The 18328-nt window shown below is 55.4% G+C and overlaps 1 protein-coding gene and 1 long non-coding RNA gene across 11 annotated transcripts in view, besides 14 other annotated features; both read right to left on the bottom strand.

Moving 5' to 3' along the window:
* SEPTIN9 (septin 9) overlaps nt 1-18328 on the bottom strand; it is a 219098-nt gene that overhangs the window by 46225 nt on the left and 154545 nt on the right. Inside the window, exon 1 of one of the 10 annotated variants that reach the window (NM_001113496.2) lies at nt 3586-3623. The gene's annotated coding sequence lies outside the window, so the exon portion shown is untranslated. 10 annotated transcript variants of the gene reach the window in all.
* Nucleotides 334-673: an enhancer, noted in NCBI's record as "active region_12842". NCBI's record gives its function as "activates an Ori minimal core promoter by ATAC-STARR-seq in GM12878 lymphoblastoid cells {active_cell/tissue: GM12878}" and the evidence as "EXISTENCE:reporter gene assay evidence [ECO:0000049][PMID:35858748]".
* Nucleotides 908-1815: an enhancer, noted in NCBI's record as "H3K27ac-H3K4me1 hESC enhancer chr17:75448639-75449546 (GRCh37/hg19 assembly coordinates)". NCBI's record gives its function as "activates a minimal SCP1, AML or CMV promoter by ChIP-STARR-seq in naive H9 embryonic stem cells {active_cell/tissue: H9 hESC(naive)}" and the evidence as "EXISTENCE:reporter gene assay evidence [ECO:0000049][PMID:30033119]".
* Nucleotides 2343-2642: an enhancer, noted in NCBI's record as "active region_12841". NCBI's record gives its function as "activates an Ori minimal core promoter by ATAC-STARR-seq in GM12878 lymphoblastoid cells {active_cell/tissue: GM12878}" and the evidence as "EXISTENCE:reporter gene assay evidence [ECO:0000049][PMID:35858748]".
* Nucleotides 2722-3629: an enhancer, noted in NCBI's record as "H3K27ac-H3K4me1 hESC enhancer chr17:75446825-75447732 (GRCh37/hg19 assembly coordinates)". NCBI's record gives its function as "activates a minimal SCP1, AML or CMV promoter by ChIP-STARR-seq in naive and primed H9 embryonic stem cells {active_cell/tissue: H9 hESC(naive and primed)}" and the evidence as "EXISTENCE:reporter gene assay evidence [ECO:0000049][PMID:30033119]".
* Nucleotides 3630-4536: an enhancer, noted in NCBI's record as "H3K27ac-H3K4me1 hESC enhancer chr17:75445918-75446824 (GRCh37/hg19 assembly coordinates)". NCBI's record gives its function as "activates a minimal SCP1, AML or CMV promoter by ChIP-STARR-seq in primed H9 embryonic stem cells {active_cell/tissue: H9 hESC(primed)}" and the evidence as "EXISTENCE:reporter gene assay evidence [ECO:0000049][PMID:30033119]".
* Nucleotides 4537-5444: an enhancer, noted in NCBI's record as "H3K27ac-H3K4me1 hESC enhancer chr17:75445010-75445917 (GRCh37/hg19 assembly coordinates)". NCBI's record gives its function as "activates a minimal SCP1, AML or CMV promoter by ChIP-STARR-seq in naive H9 embryonic stem cells {active_cell/tissue: H9 hESC(naive)}" and the evidence as "EXISTENCE:reporter gene assay evidence [ECO:0000049][PMID:30033119]".
* Nucleotides 6543-7043: an enhancer, noted in NCBI's record as "H3K4me1 hESC enhancer chr17:75443411-75443911 (GRCh37/hg19 assembly coordinates)". NCBI's record gives its function as "activates a minimal SCP1, AML or CMV promoter by ChIP-STARR-seq in naive H9 embryonic stem cells {active_cell/tissue: H9 hESC(naive)}" and the evidence as "EXISTENCE:reporter gene assay evidence [ECO:0000049][PMID:30033119]".
* Nucleotides 7207-9455, bottom strand: LOC112268198 (uncharacterized). Its single transcript, XR_004837547.2, has one exon. It is a non-coding gene; the product is annotated as an uncharacterized LOC112268198 (long non-coding RNA).
* Nucleotides 8069-8178: an enhancer, noted in NCBI's record as "active region_12840". NCBI's record gives its function as "activates an Ori minimal core promoter by ATAC-STARR-seq in GM12878 lymphoblastoid cells {active_cell/tissue: GM12878}" and the evidence as "EXISTENCE:reporter gene assay evidence [ECO:0000049][PMID:35858748]".
* Nucleotides 8339-8598: an enhancer, noted in NCBI's record as "active region_12839". NCBI's record gives its function as "activates an Ori minimal core promoter by ATAC-STARR-seq in GM12878 lymphoblastoid cells {active_cell/tissue: GM12878}" and the evidence as "EXISTENCE:reporter gene assay evidence [ECO:0000049][PMID:35858748]".
* Nucleotides 9109-9198: an enhancer, noted in NCBI's record as "active region_12838". NCBI's record gives its function as "activates an Ori minimal core promoter by ATAC-STARR-seq in GM12878 lymphoblastoid cells {active_cell/tissue: GM12878}" and the evidence as "EXISTENCE:reporter gene assay evidence [ECO:0000049][PMID:35858748]".
* Nucleotides 12585-12694: an enhancer, noted in NCBI's record as "active region_12837". NCBI's record gives its function as "activates an Ori minimal core promoter by ATAC-STARR-seq in GM12878 lymphoblastoid cells {active_cell/tissue: GM12878}" and the evidence as "EXISTENCE:reporter gene assay evidence [ECO:0000049][PMID:35858748]".
* Nucleotides 12855-13144: an enhancer, noted in NCBI's record as "active region_12836". NCBI's record gives its function as "activates an Ori minimal core promoter by ATAC-STARR-seq in GM12878 lymphoblastoid cells {active_cell/tissue: GM12878}" and the evidence as "EXISTENCE:reporter gene assay evidence [ECO:0000049][PMID:35858748]".
* Nucleotides 15850-16663: an enhancer, noted in NCBI's record as "H3K4me1 hESC enhancer chr17:75433791-75434604 (GRCh37/hg19 assembly coordinates)". NCBI's record gives its function as "activates a minimal SCP1, AML or CMV promoter by ChIP-STARR-seq in naive H9 embryonic stem cells {active_cell/tissue: H9 hESC(naive)}" and the evidence as "EXISTENCE:reporter gene assay evidence [ECO:0000049][PMID:30033119]".
* Nucleotides 17105-17364: an enhancer, noted in NCBI's record as "active region_12835". NCBI's record gives its function as "activates an Ori minimal core promoter by ATAC-STARR-seq in GM12878 lymphoblastoid cells {active_cell/tissue: GM12878}" and the evidence as "EXISTENCE:reporter gene assay evidence [ECO:0000049][PMID:35858748]".

Below are 18328 nucleotides of genomic sequence, written 5' to 3'. Positions count from 1 at the left end.
GTCCCTACCTGTCCGGGAACCGGGCTGGCACTCAATAAACAAATCAAAGCTCGGCGCCGGAAGGCAGAACTCTGGGACTAGAGTCCCAGCCAAGGGCCACAAGTCCCTCAGGAAGCCTCTTCCCCAAAGAGTGGCTGTGGGACGCTGGGAGCCTCCAGGGTGGTCAGCCTCCAGGTCTTCCCAAAGCCCAGGTGGTATCGATGCTCTGTGTTAAGGTGAGGGCTGCAGAGAGGGGCCGGCGGGGAGGAGCCCCCACAGCTTACCCTGGCCATTGACCCTACTCTCAAGCATTGAAATAAAGCCCTCTTCCCACACTCCCGGCCAGGGAGAGAGGGCGGAAGCCCTAAACATCCGGGGTGTATGGGAAAGGCTTACATGTACAGAAGAACCAGATAACGGAAGCTGCTGGTGGTGGTGACAGGCTTCTTAAAGGGGCCTTGAGACCTTTGACACCGGCAGGGAAGCCACACACTGCACCAGGCCTGGGGGCAGGGAGAAGGGGCTCCTAAGGACGGGGTTGTCCCCTCCTGTGGAAGTGCCTCGCATTGTCTGATAAGAGCAGCTTGGACCAGCCGTGGCACAACAGGAAGTTGGGAGAATACGGTGGCCCAGGAGGCTGGCCAGGGCTGGGGAGTGGTCAACCCAGAGACTCTGGTTGCCCAAGTGGGTCTAGGGCTTCCGGGGTGAAAGTCCTTGTGGAGCACAGTGGACCCAGTGTTCGGAGGACAGATCCCAGGCCCAGATAAGGCTTTTTTTTTTTTTTTTTGAGACAGAGTTTCACTCTTGTTGCCCAGACTGGAGTGCAGTAGCACAATCTCAGCTCACTGCAACCTCCACCTCCCAGGTTCAAGTGATTCTCCTGTCTCAGCCTCCCGAGTAGCTGCCATTACAGGCACGCGCCACCATGCCCGGATTAGCCAGTATTTTTAGTAGAGACAGGGTTTCACCATGTTGGCCAGGCTGGTCTCGAACTCTTGACCTCAGGTGATCTGCCTGCCTTGGCCTCCTGAAGTGTTGGGATTACAGGCATGAGCCACTGCGCCCGGCCAACAAGGCCATTTTTGACATGGAATGCTGGTCTGACCACAGTGCTTGATGGCTTCTGCCTGCAACTATGCCCCCGCCTTCCATTAAAGCAGGGCTCTCAGGGCAGAAGTCGCATCTTCTCATCCCAGAGTGCCCCACGCCACCCCCCAGGCGCACACAGTGGGTCCTCCCCACCGCAGCTGAATTGGCCCCATCACCATCACAATGACAGCCTACAGGGGCGGGGGCTAGTGGGAACACAAAGTGGCCAATGCAATAGTGTCTCAGCCACCCCGACACAGAAATGGCCAGGGGACAGAAGGGGCAAGCTGGGAGTCAGCAGCAACTCAGGTCTCCAGAGACGAGCATTAAAAAAGGCGAGCCACACCACAGGCCTTCCTTGACCACATCTCAGCCTAAAAGAGACCCAAGGAGAAACAAGAATCCCACCTTTCCAACAAGGACTCGTATACTAGATGCTAAGCAAACACCTTCTTCCTTTTCCTGAAAAGGAGCTCCTGGGGCTGCCGGGGGAGTTGGCCAAAGAGAATGACATTCATGGAAACACACGTGGCCCCATTAAGTTTCAAGGCAAGGTGGCAATGAATGGAGGAGGAAAACCCACAGCATTATTAGGGAATGGGGCCTTTTTCTGCTTCCTCCTCTTCCAACGGGTTTTCTCATGTGGGATCCAAACCAAATTCCAACTCCATCCTGATCCAGCAGGTGCTGTCTCCACAGCCCCGAACAGACCTGCCAGAAAACCACTGCTCAACCTGCTTCCGGGTGGCATATTTTTCTCCAGGAAAGGAATTACAAACTTATCTTAGATGAGCAGAGAGCTGTTCCCCAAACCTCTGACCAAAACACAGCAGATTTCACATGAAAAAGCAAAGAGAGAGGGGCCAGGGATGAAGTGCAGCAGGCTGGAGGCTGAGTCAGTCCCCAGAGTCACTGGGACGGCGTTTCAGGAGCAGATGGCATTGCCTACAAAGCTCCTCGCCCCTCCCTGCTTTGAGGCCGGGGACCACCCCGTTGGCTGCATGATTTAGTCTCTGGGGTTCTCCCAGCATGAAAAGACCCTCTGAAAGCAGGTCCGTTAGGGAGATCCCTCAGCCCCTGCTCACTGACATGCCTCTGCATGGCCGACACGCAGCATGCCATTGTAGAGAAGCAAAGCACACGCAGACCAGCCCCGCCAGCAGCACCCTCCCTCCCCGCTCCTCCCAGGAACGCCCTGCACATATCCAACACATCCAGGAATCCAGAGCTGCGCTGTAGCAGCAGCTCCCTGGATCCCAGTGCCGGCGCCGCGGGGAGCTTCGGTTACGGCATTTCGAGCATTGAGACTATCTCCAGCCTCCAGCCAGCCGGTCTTCGGGAGCCCAGAGGGGTGATAACTTGAGCGGAGTGATTTTAGAGAAAGCGGTGGCCAATTCGAATTTCTTCCTGGCCCTCCTGGAAGCCAGGGAAACCCCTTGCGAAAAGGAAACATGTTCCAAGAAGCTCCGGGCAGCAGGAGAACTTAGCCACTCAGCTTAGTTGGCCAAATATTTACAAAGAGATAGCTGTGACCACACAAAGCCCTATTCTTCTATTTTGAGGCCGAAAATCTGGTCCCCGCGTGGAGATCGAGCTCCCCGCCACCCCTCTCCTGGGGACCCCGCTCGGTCCTGCCGGCCTCGGGCCGGGGCCCAGGGACAGCGTGGCTCCCGGCACCGCCACCATGGCCATCAGGGTCCGCCTCGCGGCCGCGCCACCTGAGAGCCCCCGAGCCAGTGGTGCAAGGCTGGGAAGAACAAAGGAGCAGGACTCACCCCAGCAGCGGAACGTCGGGCTGCGCTGGACGCGCCGAGAGCCGCGGCCCGCCCACCGGGTCACATGGCTCAGAGCCGAGCAGAGGATCAAAGGGGCTTTGTGGTCGCGGAACAAGGAGCCTCCCAGAGCGCGGGGCAGAGGTAGGGAGGGACCTCGACTGCCTGGGAAGGGAGGCTCGGTGGGGAATTGCTCCAAGGGGGCAGGGCGAGGGGAGCAGGAGGAGGGGGCAGGCAGAGATAGGGGCGCCCAGCGGCAGGCCCGGCGCAGAAGCAACCTGAAGGCACGGGAGGGACGCCAAGGAGCTGCCACACGCTAAAGGAAAGTGACAGGGTCCCTGGGAAGAGTGAGGGGGAGCTGCTAGGAAGAAGAGAGGGGAAGAGGCTCCCAGGGACCTCTGGCCATGCCGTCCTTGCCCTTGTCCCTGTGCTTGCCAGAGGCGGTGCCCGTGAGGAGCCCCCTCCTCTCAGCCAGGTCCTGAAACTGACCTGGACACCCTCTCTCCTTGTGCTCTGCCTGACACCCCTGCTTCCTAGGTGCTCCCCCACCTACCTGCTCAGACATCGCCACAGCTGGGCTCTCAGGGAGCATGGCCAGCCACCCCAGAAAGCCATTCAGACCTGCAGCCAGGGCTGGAACACAGCCACCTGGGTTTGTCCCCTCTACCCCAGGTGCTTGCTGGCTGGGACCATGGAAGGGAGAAGGAGCAGGAGAGGAGGGGCAGGGGATGGGGGCGCAGCTCACCCTGAGCTCTTCCTCCGAGAGCCTCTGGATTCAGATCTGATCCAGCTCCTGCCTCTCCAGCCTCTCCAGCCCCTGGGGGACCTGGCCAGTGAGTCAGTCTCTTCCTCTCCCCCTCCCTGCAGGCCTGGGATGTGCTGGGACCCAGAGGGGCACAAGCAAGGGGGTCCCCAGAGGAGGGAGCTGACACTATAGGGGCTGGGCCTGGACGCTGGGATCTGCCAGACCCATCTCAGTGCCACGACCTCTGAACCCAAGTGAGTCACTCCCAGCAGGGGCGTGGCCACTCCCACACTAGGAGAGAGCGCCTGGGAGTGGGCTCGTTCCGAGGGCTTGCTGGGGGCTGGGAGGGATTCACTCAAATGGAAAGAAGCCTTTGGTGACACCTTCTGAGGGCCAGGGGCTGAATTCTGGAAGCTACGCCCTCAGGCAGCCCCCACGGGACCTCATGTTGAGTGCTGACTGGGCTCCACACACTCTTACCTTTCCCATCCCGCACCCCCACACGTGGCTGGGGGTGACTGAAGCCCCGGGGCACCCGCCACACTGGCCAAACAGGCCAGCCACGTCCAGCGGCTCCCCAGCCAGCAGTCACTGGCATCTGACCCGTCGCTTCCCACTCCTCATGGCCAACTTTCCCCCTAAGGCCTCCTGGTCCCACGGCCCTCCCCACCCTCACAGTGAACGGCCGTGGGGAGCTGCTGCTACTGGTCTCCGGGCGCCAGGCCAGAGCCGGGGGAGTGTCTGGGAGAAGACTGCATGCCCGGAGTCCCTGTTCCCATCTGAATGGGAGGGAGGCTGGTGGCAGATCAGAGACCTGGGTTCTGAGTCAAACACTGAAATCCAAGGCCCTGGGCCTGTCACTCAATATCTGTGGAATTTGACCTTCCCCATCCATAAAATGGGCACCACCAACACCAGTCGCCAAAATTACAGCAAGACACACACGTCTAGGCCAGGAAGTGCGGCCACTCAGAAAATACAGCTCCCCCTTCCTCCAAGAAGCTAATTTCCCCAGCACTGGGAGTGAGAAGAGCCTGTCTTTTCCACTGTCTGCAGCCCAGCCCAGGGCACCCTCATCACTGGCCCCTAAAGGGCAGCTCCAGAAACCGCTGACAAAGGATGCCAGAAGGAACTCCTTTCTGGCCAGGTGTCAGGGTCAACAGAAAGCCTCGAGGATGCAGCTCCCACCACGCCCCTGCCCCGTGGGCCTCTCCCTCCCCGTGGGCAGAACCCTTCTTCCTTGGCCCTCCTCTCCGAACCTTCTTCTCTTTGCCTCTGGCCTCAATCTGTCCCCCAGCTTTCTGGCCCCCCAGGCTTTTCCCAGGGCCCAAGACCCTGCTCTCCTCCAAGCCCAGCCTCCTCCCCTCCTCTGCCTCTGGATTCCTGAGCTGGGAGGCCAGCATCCTGGGTGCTTTGCTGAGGTGGCCGCCCCTCTTGCAGTGGTTCCTCTTGCTGTCACCAAATGAGGGTCTCCAGAGCACAGAGAAGGCATCTCCGGCCTGGGGCTGCATCCCCCACACAAAGCCTCTGTCCTTCAGCACTTCTCAAAGTTCTCTACCGCTCAGCACACACTCAGCATTCAGGTAGAGCAGCCCCAGAGCCTTCTCGGCTGGCCCTCGGTCCAACCCTCCAGCAGAAACGGCACATGGGCCACAGACGCAACCTTACATTTTCCAGCACCTACAATAAAAAATGTAAGAACAAGCCAGGCACAGTGGCTCACGCCTGTCATACCAGCACTTTGGGAGGCTGAGGTGGGCAGATCACCTGAGGTCAGGAGTTCAAAACCAGCCTGGCCAACATGGCAAAACCCTGTCTCTACTAAAAATACAAAAATTAGCCAGGCATGGTAGCAGCCACCTGTAATCCCAGCTACTTGGGAGGCTGAGGCAGGAGAATCGCTCAAACCTGGGAGGCAAAGGTTGCAGTGAGCCGAGATCGTGCCACTGCACTCCAGCCTGGGCAACAGTGTGAGACCCCATATTTAAAAAAAAAAAGAAAAGAAAAGAAAAAGGAAATCATTAAAAAATGTAAGAACAGGTGATATTAATTTTAATATCATTCACTTAACAGAGCCCAAAATATTATCAATTCAACATGTAATCAATGTAAAAATGACAGATATTTGATATTCTTTTCTTTCCCCCTTGCTAGGACTCTGAAACCCAGAGTGCACTTCACACACACGGCACCTCTCCACTTGGAATCACCACATTTCAGGTGTTCAAATGGCCCCGTGCAGCCAGTGGCTATCATGCTGGACAGTGCAGCTCGGAGAGTCTCAATTTTTTTTTTTTTTTTTGGTTGCCGGGGAACAGAGTCTTGCTCTGTCACCCAGGCTGGAGCGCAATGGCGTGATCTTGGCTCACTGCAACCTCCGTCTCCTGAGTTCAAGCAATTCTCCCGCCTCAGCCTCCCAAGTAGCTGGGACTACAGGCGTACACCACCATGTCCGGCGGCTACTTTTTGTATTTTTAGTAGAGATGGGGTTTCACCATGTTGGCCAGGCTGGTCTCAAACTACAGACCTCAATTGATCCGCCCGCCTCAGCCTCCTGAAGTGCTGAGATTACACGCGTGAGCCACCACGCCCATCCTCGGATAGTCTCAATTTGATCCTAGGATAATACCAGGTCATCAGAGAGCTGTTGATTTGGACCATATTATGATTTGAACCTCCCAGATCATTCTCGGCACCATGTCTACAAGCCACATTTAGAGGACAATAGGATACAGCTTGGTGAAACACACAGCGGCATCTCTCATAAGACACTGGTGAGGCCACAGATCCCACCATCAGTGTCACCCGCCTGGGGACATTTCACTTTCAGAAAATGCAGAGCTTCTCCTAAGAAATGAATGTGGCCAGGTGTGTTGGCTCACACCTGTCATCCCAGCACTTTGGGAGGCCAAGGCGAGCACATTGCCTGAGGTCAGGAGTTCAAGACCAGCCTGACCAACATGGTGAAACCCAGTCACTACTAAAAATACAAAAATTCGCCAGGCGTGGTAGTGTGTGCCTGTAGTCCCAGCCACTCAGGAGGTTGAGGCAGGAGAATCGCTTGAACCCGGGAGGAGGAGGTTGCGGTGAGCTGAGATCACGCCACTGCACTCCAGCCTGGGCGACAGAGCGAGACTTCGTCTCAAAAAACAAACAAAAAAAGAAATGAATGTTTTAGGCACACGCTAAGTATCTCTTAGACGATTCCAAAGATATCAATTACTGTGACTGACGACGACTCTTCCCCTTCCCTGGGTGTGCCTGTCCTGCTTCCCTAGCTCACAGGTGCTCAGGACTCAAAGGCAGCCCGCCACAGGCCATGGGATCTGGCTGGCTCAAAAGGGAGAGTGAGGCCATTGGAATTTTCCCAGGAGTGAGTCTGAAGCTTGGAATGTTTTTTGGTGGAGGGTCCTGAAGCTAGGAGGCGATGCAGACGTGGGGGCTGAGACATTATTTGGGGCCATTTGCAAAGAGGGATACTCAGGCAGTGACCCCAAGGAAAGAGCAAGGGGAGGAGAGGGCGGCACATCCACGCCCCTTCAACTCCTGCCCGTCCGGAGGCCTACGCACTCCACACGCCGGCCTCCCCGCATGGATATCCTTCCAATAAGCAACTCATCGTGCTCATGTTTATTTATTTTAAAGTCACACAGAATTGCACTTATTAAAAATGAATTTATGGAGACAGAAAGCATTCTGGTGGCTGCCAAGGGCTGGAGAGGGCGAATGGGGAGTGAGTCCTTCATGGATACGGGGTTTCCCTTTGGGGTGATGAAAAAGTTCTGGCGCTAGACAGTGCTGATGGTTGCACGACACTGTGAATGTACTCAGTGTTACTAATGGCAAATTTTATGTTCTGTGCATTTTAGCACAATAAAAAAATATACATTTAAAGCAACAGAATTCAACGTGTCCTTTTTTCCCCTTGAGCCAGTTTGTTTTCTTGCTTTATATCTTAAAATCAGAAGGGCCCTGAGATACACCACAGGCCCCTAGGGTAGGCTGAATAACTCTCCCTTCCCAAACTGTGTTACCTCATGTGGCAACAGGGACTCTGTAGATGTAACTGAAGATGTTGAGATGAAGAGATTACCCAGGTGGGCCCCAAATCACAAGCGTCCTTTAAGAGGGAGGCAGGCCAGGTGTGATGGCTCATGGCTGCAATCCCAGCACTTTGGGAGGCTGAGGCAGGCAGATCACCTGAGGTCAGGAGTTCAAGACCAGCCTGGCCAACATGGCAAAACCCTGTCTCTACTAAAAATACAAAAATTAGCCAGGTGTAGTAGCACATGCCTGTAATCCCAGCTACTCGGGAAGCTGAGGCAGGAGAATCGCTTGAACCCAGGAGGCGGAGGCTGCAGTGAGCCAAGATTGTGCCACTGCACTCCAGCCTGGGTGACTCCGTCTCAAAAAAAAAAAAGAGGAAGGCAGAGGGAGATCTGACTGCAGAGAAGGAGGAGGCTGTAGGAGGATGGAGGCAGAGGCTGGAGGGATGCAGCCGCAAGCCAAGGAACTCCAGCAGAGCCTCCCACCCAAAGCTGGAAGAGGCAGGAATGGATTCTGCCAACACCTTGACTTTAGTCCGGTGAGACTGATCGGCTTCTGACCCTTAGCACTGTAAAGGAAGGAGCCTCTGTTGCTTTAAGCCACTGAGTTTGTGATAAGCAGTTACAGCGGCAACAGGAAGCGAATGTAGCCCTCAGTCCATTCCTCCGCCCACAGCAACACAGGCGCTTCCTTGTGCAGAACTCTGCCAGGCAGCCAGTGAGCGGGACAGGACCCCTTCCCGCCCCTACTCGGGGTTCTGTGTTGGATTTTCCAAGGCTGCTGCTCTTGAGATAGTGAACTTCCCACATCCACAGAGACTCATCTCAAAGCTGAGAAAGTGCCCCCTTCAAGGGGCGTCAGAAAGAAGGTCCCAAGGTGTCCTTGCCACATGTCCACCTGTCTGTGGGCAACACCCACAGTCCTTCCTCGTGACCCACCCAACAGAAGGGTCACAGGGGAGGGAGCACCATTGGCCAGCCTATCCCACAGCAAGGTCCCACTCTGGAAGCCACAGGGGACAGTTGGGACTCCCACCTCCAACTCAGCCAACTGGGAGAAGAGCCCAGAACAGTCTTGGAGGTTGACACCTGCTAGGAAGTGTGGTGACACCCACGTGCTGCTGAAACACACAGCAACACAGCAGCAGAGAGGAGGGGATGTGGTTTCACAGCTTCCTCCCTACCCACCCAGCACGCACGCACACACACACACACGTGCGTGCACACATGCACCAACCCCCAGTTCCCAGGTCCTGCACTCTGCTCCTGCCAAGCTCCTCGGCCACCACCAAGCCAGGTTGTGAGCACAGAGCTCAGCCTTCCTGCCAACTCTTTTCCAATCCATCCTGGGCAACACCCCAATGGGATGCAGCAGATGCTTCCCATCAAATGCCAAGAGCAATATCCCTCCCTATCCTTTGTGAGCTGGCGGCCGCGCTTCTGCATGGGGGTGCGGAGGAAAGGGCTGGGGAGCAGGAATGTGGTTCTGAGGGCTGGTATGCATTTGTAGCTGTGACGCCCCGAGGCAGCCCACATTTCTACCCACAGACCAACCTTGAGAAGGGGCTGGGAGCACCCACAGCTCCTGCCACCCTTGGGTTGGCAGGCTGGGGAAACCCTGAGTAGCCCGAGTGAAGGCCGTCCCCAGGCAGGCATGGTGGGACAGAGGGGCCTCTGCACATTTTCTGTGAGGCAGCGCAGCTGCTGGGCTGTTTCAGCACATTTGGGTGACATGTTCCTCTTCTGGTTTCTTCTCACTTGGCCTGGGAGAACGTTCAGGATGCCCCAATCTCAAAAACAAGCAAACCCTCTTCCTTTGACCTATCTACCTCCTCAAACTGTGAACTTTCTCCCTGTCTGAACAGCCCAACCTCTCAAAGTAGGTCTACACCACGGCTTCTAGCTTCCCACCGCCCACTTACTTCTTAGCCCGAGCCATCTGGTGTCCGCCCGTCTCACTATTAACCCAGCTCTTGAAAAAATCCTCATGGCCAGTATCCAGCCCCACCCCATCTGACCTCGAGGGCAGTGCCTGACACGCACCAGCTGGTTCTTCTCCCCTCCTTCTCCCCTCCGTATTCCCTAGTGCTGGGGTCTAGATAGCTCCCAAGGGTCCCCTCGCCCCCTGACTTAGTCTCCTGGAGTGACCACACCTCCGTTCCAGCTTCCCAGCTCAGCTGCCTCTCCACATCTTGCCTCAGGTCTCCCCCTTGGAACACTGTCTGTTTTCAGAGACTCAAGCTCCCACTCTCCACACCCCCCTCCCCGACCCCCAGCCCTCTCACCAAAGTCCTACTGGCTGTTTCTTCCCGGTGTCTCAAATCAGTCCCTTCCTGCCCAGACCCCACAAGGTTAGTTTCCACCCTATGACTGCTCCCCTGGACCACTGGGATCATCCCTTACCAACACCCACCTCCCATCTCGCTCCCTCCTGCCCATGCAGGGCTCTGCTGGAGGACCCCTCCCGCTTTATCACTCCTTTTCCCAAACAGCTTCCCAGGCTCCTCTGTTAAAGTTGAAATTCTTCCCTTGCATTCGAGGACCCCTGCAATCTGGCCAACTCATTTTCAAGCCTGAATTCCCACTCCTGTCTAAGGAGCCTACGCTCTTCAGCCAGGTCCTACTGTCTCGCAAACCCCACCTAAAATCCCCCCTGGTAAATGTCACCACCTCCAGGAAGCCCTCCTGACATCCTCCATCATATGTGACCCCCACCCCCAGAGTCAGACCCTGACTTGGAGACCTTGACTCTTATTCACCTTTGCCTCTTTTGAGTCTCCTAGGCTGCAGGCCTCAGTCTATGTTTGTGGGTCTCTGTAGCAGGAGGGCCCATTTCCACCTTTCTAAGAAGTGCTCGCCCTACCTCCCGTCAAGTTGCAACTTTCCACAAGCAGGTACCTTCAACATGCCTTTTTACTTTTTTTCTTTTTTTTCTTTTTTTTTGAGACGGAGTCTGGCTCTGTTGCCCAGGCTGGAGTGTAGTGGCGCGATCTCAGCTCACTGCAACCTCCACCTCCCAGGTTTTAAGTGATTCTTCTGCCACAGCCTCCCCCGTAGCTGGGATTACAAGCATGCGCCGCCACGCCAAGCTAATTTTTTTTTGTATTTTTAGCAGAGACAGGGTTTCACCATGTTGGCCAGGCTGGTCTCAAACTCCTGGCTTGAAGTGATCCGCCGACCTCAGCCTCTCAAAGTGCTGGGATTATAGGCGTGAGTCACTGCACCCAGCCCAACATGCCTTTTTATATCCTTCTTGAAAAGCTATCATTATACCAACAGTGTGTTTTATAAATTGATAATAACTTAAAATGTGACTTATTATTAAAAGTGTGACCTTACTTTTAAATAATATTGCTGGTTGTGGTCTGTAGCCAGCTCTATTATTCCCGTGTGATGACCACTTTGTAGATCAGCAATGGCCCCAGGCCCACATCCAATCCAACCACCCTGCCCCTCCAACCTCATTTCCCCTTGAGCCAACATCAAGTGTGTCCCAGAGCTGCAAACTCATGGCTGATACAAAACCAGGATCCTCAACACTCAATACAAAGCAATCGGGCCCTGCACTGGTTTCAACAGCAACCATAAACCACGTCTGCCTCCTGCACTGGGCACATTGCACCCAGCCCATAATATGTGCTTTTGCCCCTTCCATTTCCCCTATTAAGATGGTATACAGGCCCAAATCTGCTCCCTGGGAGCAACTGACTCTTCCCTGGAAGATGTGAGTAGTTTCCACACCACACCTAAGAAGACATTGTCACAAGACTTCACATCTCCCATCTCAGCTCCTAAGGGCCTATTTATCTTTCCAAAAACTCATTTGTTTTGCCATAATATGTGCTTTTTTTTTTTTATTTGTTTTTTTAAGACACAGTCTCACTCTGTTGCCCAGACTGGAATGCAATGGTATGATCTCAGCTCACTGCAACCTCCGCCTCGTGGGTTCAAGCAATTCTCCTGCCTCAGCTTCCCAAGTAGCTGGGATTACAGGTGTGCACCACCATACCCGGCTAATTTTTGTATTTTTAGTAGAGACGGGGTTTCACCATGTTGGCCAGGCTGGTCTTGAATTCCCGACCTCAGGTGATCCACCTGCCTCGGCCTCCCGAAGTGCCGGGATTACAGGCGTGAGCCATCGCACCCGGCCCATAATATGTGCTTTCACCCCTTCCTTTTTTCCTATTAAGATAGTATACGGGCCCTAAGTTCTTTTTTTTTTTTTTTTTTTTTTAAGACTAGTTGGCTGGGTGCAGTGGCTCATGCCTGTAATCCCACCACTTTGGGAGGCCGAGGTAGGCAGATCACGAGGTCAGGAGTTTGAGACCAGCCTGGCCAACATAGTGAAACCCTGTCTCTACTAAAAATACAAAAAATTAGCCAGGCGTGGTGGTGGGTGCCTGTAATCCTAGCTACTCGGGAGGCTGAGGCAGGGGAATCGCTTGAACCCGGGAGGCGGAGGTTAGAGTGAGCCGAGATCGTGCCATTGCACTCCAGCCCAGGCAACAGTGCAAGACTCTGACTCAAAAAAAACAAAACAAGTGGGAAGAGGGGAGACAGTGGAACAAGGAGTCTAATCTGTAACTGACTGTGAACAATCAACTGAGATAACTCACTACCTTCGGACCAGTCACGGGCCCCACCTTCTACCTGCTCTTTTGAGTCACGTTTTTCAGTGAAATCCCATACGTATGTGATTAAATCTGTCTTTTCTCTCATTAATTTATCTTGAGTGAGTTTAATTCACAGACCCCCAAACACTGAACCTAAGAGGGTAGAGGAAATGTATTTCTTCCCCGCTACAAAAATACTCCACCTCTTCACTGCAGTGTCGCCTGTCCCACCCACAGCCGGCAATTTGGACCCCGTTTCTCAAAGTCTATGAAAGCAGGACAGACTGCCTGCAGGATGTTCCCGTCACAAAAGGAGGGTCAGGTCTGGTAGGAGGAAAGAAACGGAAGTGGCAAACGTTCACCTCTTGCGCTAGACAGAGGCACCAGGTGTTCACTGCCCTGGGGAGTAAACATTTTTAAAAACGGAAAGAAAAATCTTCAGCTTCACTGGGGTGTAAAAAGTCATGACCTCTTCCGTGGCTAAATGGCTGGGTGGCTTGGGAGACAAGCGGTAGCCACCCTGAAGCTCAGTTTACTTGTCTGTAAATGGAGGGCAATGAAACCACCTGCTGTATGGGTGCTTGACAGGCTGTTGCTCAAACTTCCTGCCCTCCCTTATGGGGTTTTGGGGAAGATCATATGAGCTAGCAACATAAAAGCACTTTGAAAACCACACGAAGTGTCTAAGCATGGGGGCGCTGGCTGACTCCAGGCCTGTTTTCACAAGCTGGCAGAAAATCCCCCAGAGAGGGCCTTGTTTTTCCCTCCGGGGCAGGGGCCGCAGTGTCAGACCTGATGGCACTGGTGGCTGCTCAGGCTATCTGGCATGAGACTGTTGTCAGCCCCAGACCCACTCCAAGTCTGGGAGGGAAGCAGGCCGGGGTGGGGGTTCTGAAACCCTTCATATTTTTGGCAGAGACACCAGGGCAGGCAAAAGTGTCACTCATGGCAAACTAAGAAGCTTGTCTGAATTGGGCCCAAACCAGCCCAGCCCAGAATGGAGGCCAGCTCCATTCTCTCCTCCCAGAACCAGGAGCCCAGCACACCAGAGGCTGAGAAAACGCTGGAATAGCCCCTCCATCTGTTTGTTCAGAGACAGGGACCCTAAGCCACCTTCTCCCCCAGCTCACTCCACAAACCCTTTGTGCCAGACTCTCCCTGTCCAGGAGCTACAGGCCCTATTTGGGAGCCATCCAGGGTCTCAAGGTCTCCACCACCCAGCTGTCCATCTCATCAGGCCAGGCCTGCAGGCATGGAGATCAGCAGGATGTGGTTCAAATCTGGCTGCACGCTGATCAGCTGAGTGACTCTGGGCCCATTTCTTAACCTCTGGGAGGCAATGCTCTCTCATCTGCAAAAAGGGGAAAGGGCTCAGCGAGGAGAGTGACAAGTAAAGGAGATGGCACCTGTGCAGACGGCACTGTGCGGGCGCCCAGCGGATGATCACGCGTCACCTTCCTGCCTCTTCTCCCTGCTTCTGTGGGAGCGTGGGCAGCAGGGAGCCAAGAGGAAGGGAGCAGCTGTCCGCTTGGGACGCAGGCCGCTCTGAATTGGAAGAGAAAAAGGAATAAGCAGCAGCTGCTCACTGACAAGCTTCATGTATCTGTGCCTTAAAACCCTAAAGGTGCATCTGAAAGATTTTCTGGGCAAATTCTCTTTTATAGATATACGAAAGCCAGGTGCAGTGGCTCACGCCTGTAATCCCAACACTTTGGGAGGCGAAGGCAGGCGGATCACCTGAAGTCGGGAGTTCGAGACCAGCCTGGCCAACTTGGTGAAACCCCATCTCTACTAAAAATACAAAAATTCGCCGGGCGTGGTGGTGGGCGCCTATAATCCCAGCTACTTAGGAGGCTGAGGCAGGAGACTCGCTTGAACCCGAGAGGTGGAGGTTGCAGTGAGCCAAGATTGTGCTACTGCACTCCAGCCTAGGTGACGGAGCGAGACTCCATCTCAAATAAAAATAAATTTAAAAAAAAGGTATATGAAAAAGGTAAAATGCCATGAGTGTTTTGTCGCAATGTGCCAGTTACAAATGGGAACTGGAGGACTCCCCAAGTCATCTCTTCCTTCATTCCTTCCCTCCCTGCATATGTACTAACAGTCCCCTGGGTGCTGGCAGCATCAGGGGACCTGGGGTGCCTCACAGGCCCTGCCTGCTCAGATCTTAGAGCCAAGGAGGAGACATAAAAGTTAAAATAGGGTGGTAAGTGGAACAAATGGGGACCAGATGGGGCAATTTGGCAGCACTCGGCAAGGCCCTTCTTAATGAGTCCCCAAAGAGGCCCAGCTTCCAGGGGAAGGAGGCGCCCCAGGCAGCGGGGGCCTGCAGAGGCGAAGGCCCAGGGCGGGGCTCTCAGGGAAGCCGTTCAGGATGCCCGAAAGGAGGGGAGCAACTCACGAGCCTGGTGACAGGGCCGGTCATAAAGTGCCATGAAGCACCAACCAGGCTGCCCACCAGCCTCCAGGACAGAAAGATCACAGCAGTTAAGGTGTGGGGATCTGCTCACCTGATCCCCACTCAGCTCAGAAAATGACTGTTTCAGGGCCACAGGCAACAGCCCAAGTCCTGCAAGCTGCTGGCCACAGGGTGCAGCTGCGGCAAGGTGGGGACGCCCACCAGCCAAGTTCTCTAGGACCCCTGGGCTGCCGGATATGCCTGCAGGACGCCACGGGGGCAGGCCAGACTAGGGGTACTTCCATCTCTTCTCTCAGGCCCCAGCCCTCAGGCCAGAGTGTCCTCTGGTCCCTGGGGCCCCCAGGGCTGCAGATAGACAGGGAGAGGCCTGTGCCATGGTGGGTCACCTGGTTCCTGCAGGAAGTGGCCAGAGGCTCCAGCACCTGGATACAGTAGCTACTCTTCCAACCCCTGCCAATGCTGCTGTTGCTCGGGGTCCACTCCCTCCAACCCTCCTCCCCAACCAGGGAGGAAAGCACTTTGGAGCAGGAACTGGGCTATCTAGCTTGATATTCCAGCATGACTCTGCATGACCCTGGGCCAGTCACTTAACTTCCCTGGGCCTCCATTTCTTCACTTGCAAATCAGGCAGACAACCCCCCAAAGTCTCCTTCAGCTACAGAATTCTAAGTGTTAAAACAAAAAAAATCCACAAAAAGGAAACATGTGTCCAGCCCACACCCTCGCCTTCATTTGTCAAAAGGGGAAATGGATTTGCTACGGGGTTTTCTTCTCCCAAACAGACATGGGAGACCTTTCCTATGATTGCAGAACTGGAGCAGTCCAGAGGAGCCCAGAATCTCCCAGAGCTTGAGATCCACAGGGGAATTTATCCTAATTCTTCCGGGATAGAAGCACTGCTGCCTAATGGCATTCAATTCCCATCACTGCTGTAGCAAATGACCACACACTTGTGATGTCAAACAACACAGATTAGTCCCACACTCCACCTCACTAGGCTACAGGGAAGGTGTCCACAGGGCTGCGCACCCTCCCGAGGCTGCAGGGGAGACTGCGTTTTCCTGCATTTTCTGTTCACCTGCATTTCTTGGCTTGTGGCCTCCTTCCTCCTTCCAAGCCTCTCCCACTGCACCCCTCAGATGGTCTATTGCGCTTTTAAAAACTCTTGTGATGACAGCGGGCCCGTGTGGATCATCCAGGATCATCTCCCTATTTTAAGACCAGCTGATTAGTGACCTTAGCTGGCCCTGCCATGTCACCTAACGTAGTCCCAGGTGCTGGGGATTAGGATGTGCTCAACTCTGGGAGTCATTATCCTGCCAACCCCAAGACATAGGTCCTGGAGGGAGATGAAGGGTAGGACTACAGGCCCAGGAGGCTGCCTGCGTGGGTTCGAATCCTGGCTCCACCACTAAGGAACTGGGGGAGCACATTATCTGTAAAATGGGGGTCGGCGGGGAACCAGCCTCTTGGCTGTCAGCGCAGAGTGAGGCAGTGTGTGCAGTGCCTGGAGCAGCTCCGTGAGCATCTGTTCCCTCCTCGCCAAATCTATAAGAACTGACCTCGGCCCAACGGCTTCTCCAAACCTTCAGCTCCTTTCGGTCACAAGGCCAGGAGCACCCCCCTGCAGGGCCATCCAAGCCCTCAGCCCCTCTGAAAGCCCCGGCCCACACGATGCTGGAAGCAGATGTGTCGTGGGCTGCTCACCCATGCATGGCCACCGGAGAGGCCCGGATGATGCCGCCTTCAATGGGTGCACAGTGCAGGGCAGGGCCAGGCACCAACAACCAGCCACAGTCACCAGCGCAAGCAAGGGGCCCCCACTGTCACCTCTGGCCTGGGGCCAGGGAGAAGCTTCGGGAGGCACCTGACTTTCTTACAGGGAGTGGGGCTACAGGAGAATGTACCCGAAAGGGGTTGGGGGGCAGCAGAAAGTCCTCCCCAGAAACTCCATCCTTGGCTCGTGACAGATGATTCTCCCAGGCCACTACTGGGGTTCACTTGGGCTTTTGCAGCATGGAGTTTGGCCACCCCAGAAGGATGACTGGGCAGGCCAGGGCCACTGGCGATGGTGACGGCAGGCCCCTCTGAGGTCTCCCCACCAGAAGCATCAGGAGGTCAGAGCAGTCGACAAGCCCTCACCTGGTCCCTGAGGGGCAGAAGGTCTTGAGCAGCCTCCTGACCTCTCGAGGTCCTCCCACCTCACTGAGAGACCCCCGAGAGTACTGAGAGCCATCCCCTGGCTTCTCCGTGAGAGAGTTGGTTACATAAAGGCAGCCACACATCCAGCAAGATGAATTTACAATCTCTGAGCCCAGGTCCATTCCGGCTTCCCCATAGGGAGCTCCTGGGGGCGTGGGGTGGGGGTGTAGAAGGGAGGGGTCGGTGCTCCATCCCTGGGAACCAGGCCATGAGTCCTGGACTCAGGCCAAACCACAGAGGCCTCACTTCTCTCCAGGCTTCTTGCTTTCCAACCACTTCTGCATAGGGCATTCTTCTTTCCCTCGCAGGGCCCCACTGGGGTGGGGTGAGGAGGAGTCACAGAATCACAGCAGCTGCCACACGGGGGTGTCAAGGCAGGGATGCTGATGCCAACCGAATGGGCACGGGAAGGCAGAGCAGGAGGTCGGCGCCCTGGGCCTGGCTAGGCTGTGTGACCCCAGGGAACTCACTTCACCTCTCTCGGCCTCTAGTTTCCTCCACTGTAAACCGAGGGAGTGAGGCCAGGTGATCTGCACAATCGCGTGAATCTGTGTCCTGCATCTTCCACTCACCACCCCAAACAATGCTTCTAAATCCCAGCTTCCCAATGCTTCGGCACCCTCCTGCCTGAGAAACACTTACGGCTGTTCTTTATGCTGTGCCCCAAATACAGGCACCCTGGCCCTCTCCTGGGTGTCCTTACCAGGGCCAGAATGGGCAGCTCACCCTGCAGGAACCCCCAAGGACTTTCAGTCACTCCCAGGATGGGGGCTGGCTGCCCGGAAGCGGCTTTTGCCCACCTCCGCCGCAGCCCCTACCACGAGGCTAGTGCAGCAAAACAGGAGGTGTAGGTGGCCGGGGCCAGGGGCCAGGTCACTCCCTCCAGCGGGGCAGGAGAGGGGCGAGAAAAGCTGGACACTGATCATTCCAGGCTGAGGGTCTGCGTGGAGGAGGGGGCCCATGGCAAAGGAAGTGGGAGGATGGGAAGGAGCTCTTGCTGGATACCCCCACCCCGCTGGCTCCAGCCCCGCCCCCGTCCCATCTGCGGGGAGAAAGTGAGGCTCTTTGCTTTGCCAAATCCCAGTAATGAATCTCACATTCACTCCATCCTCTGCTTATTGGAAACCCTCTCTCCACCTTCTGGATCCGCTCTGAACAGCTGGGCTGCAGAAGTCGGTGGAATGAAACATGCAGGGTGGCTCAGAGGGGACTGTGCCGAACAGCGCTGTGTCCCCGCCCACCCCTTCCTCTGAAGATAAGGCCTCTCTGTTCCTGCCCTTTCCCTGGGAAAGCTGGAGAGGGGGCTGAGGAAATGGGATCCACCATTAACTCTTTCGTGCACGTTGGCTTCCAGCAGGCATCCTCACACTCCCCAACCAGGCCCGCAGGGTGGAAAGGCAGCCGCCGAGCTCAACTCAACTCCCACCCAGCCGTGGAAGCCAGTGTGGATGGCAAAGTACCCA

Source organism: Homo sapiens, chromosome 17 (assembly GCF_000001405.40).
Source record: "Homo sapiens chromosome 17, GRCh38.p14 Primary Assembly".
NCBI classification, from domain to species: Eukaryota; Metazoa; Chordata; class Mammalia; order Primates; family Hominidae; genus Homo; species Homo sapiens.
The sequence above is the reverse complement of the archived record's forward strand: the minus strand, read 5'-3'. Positions and strand labels throughout refer to the sequence as shown.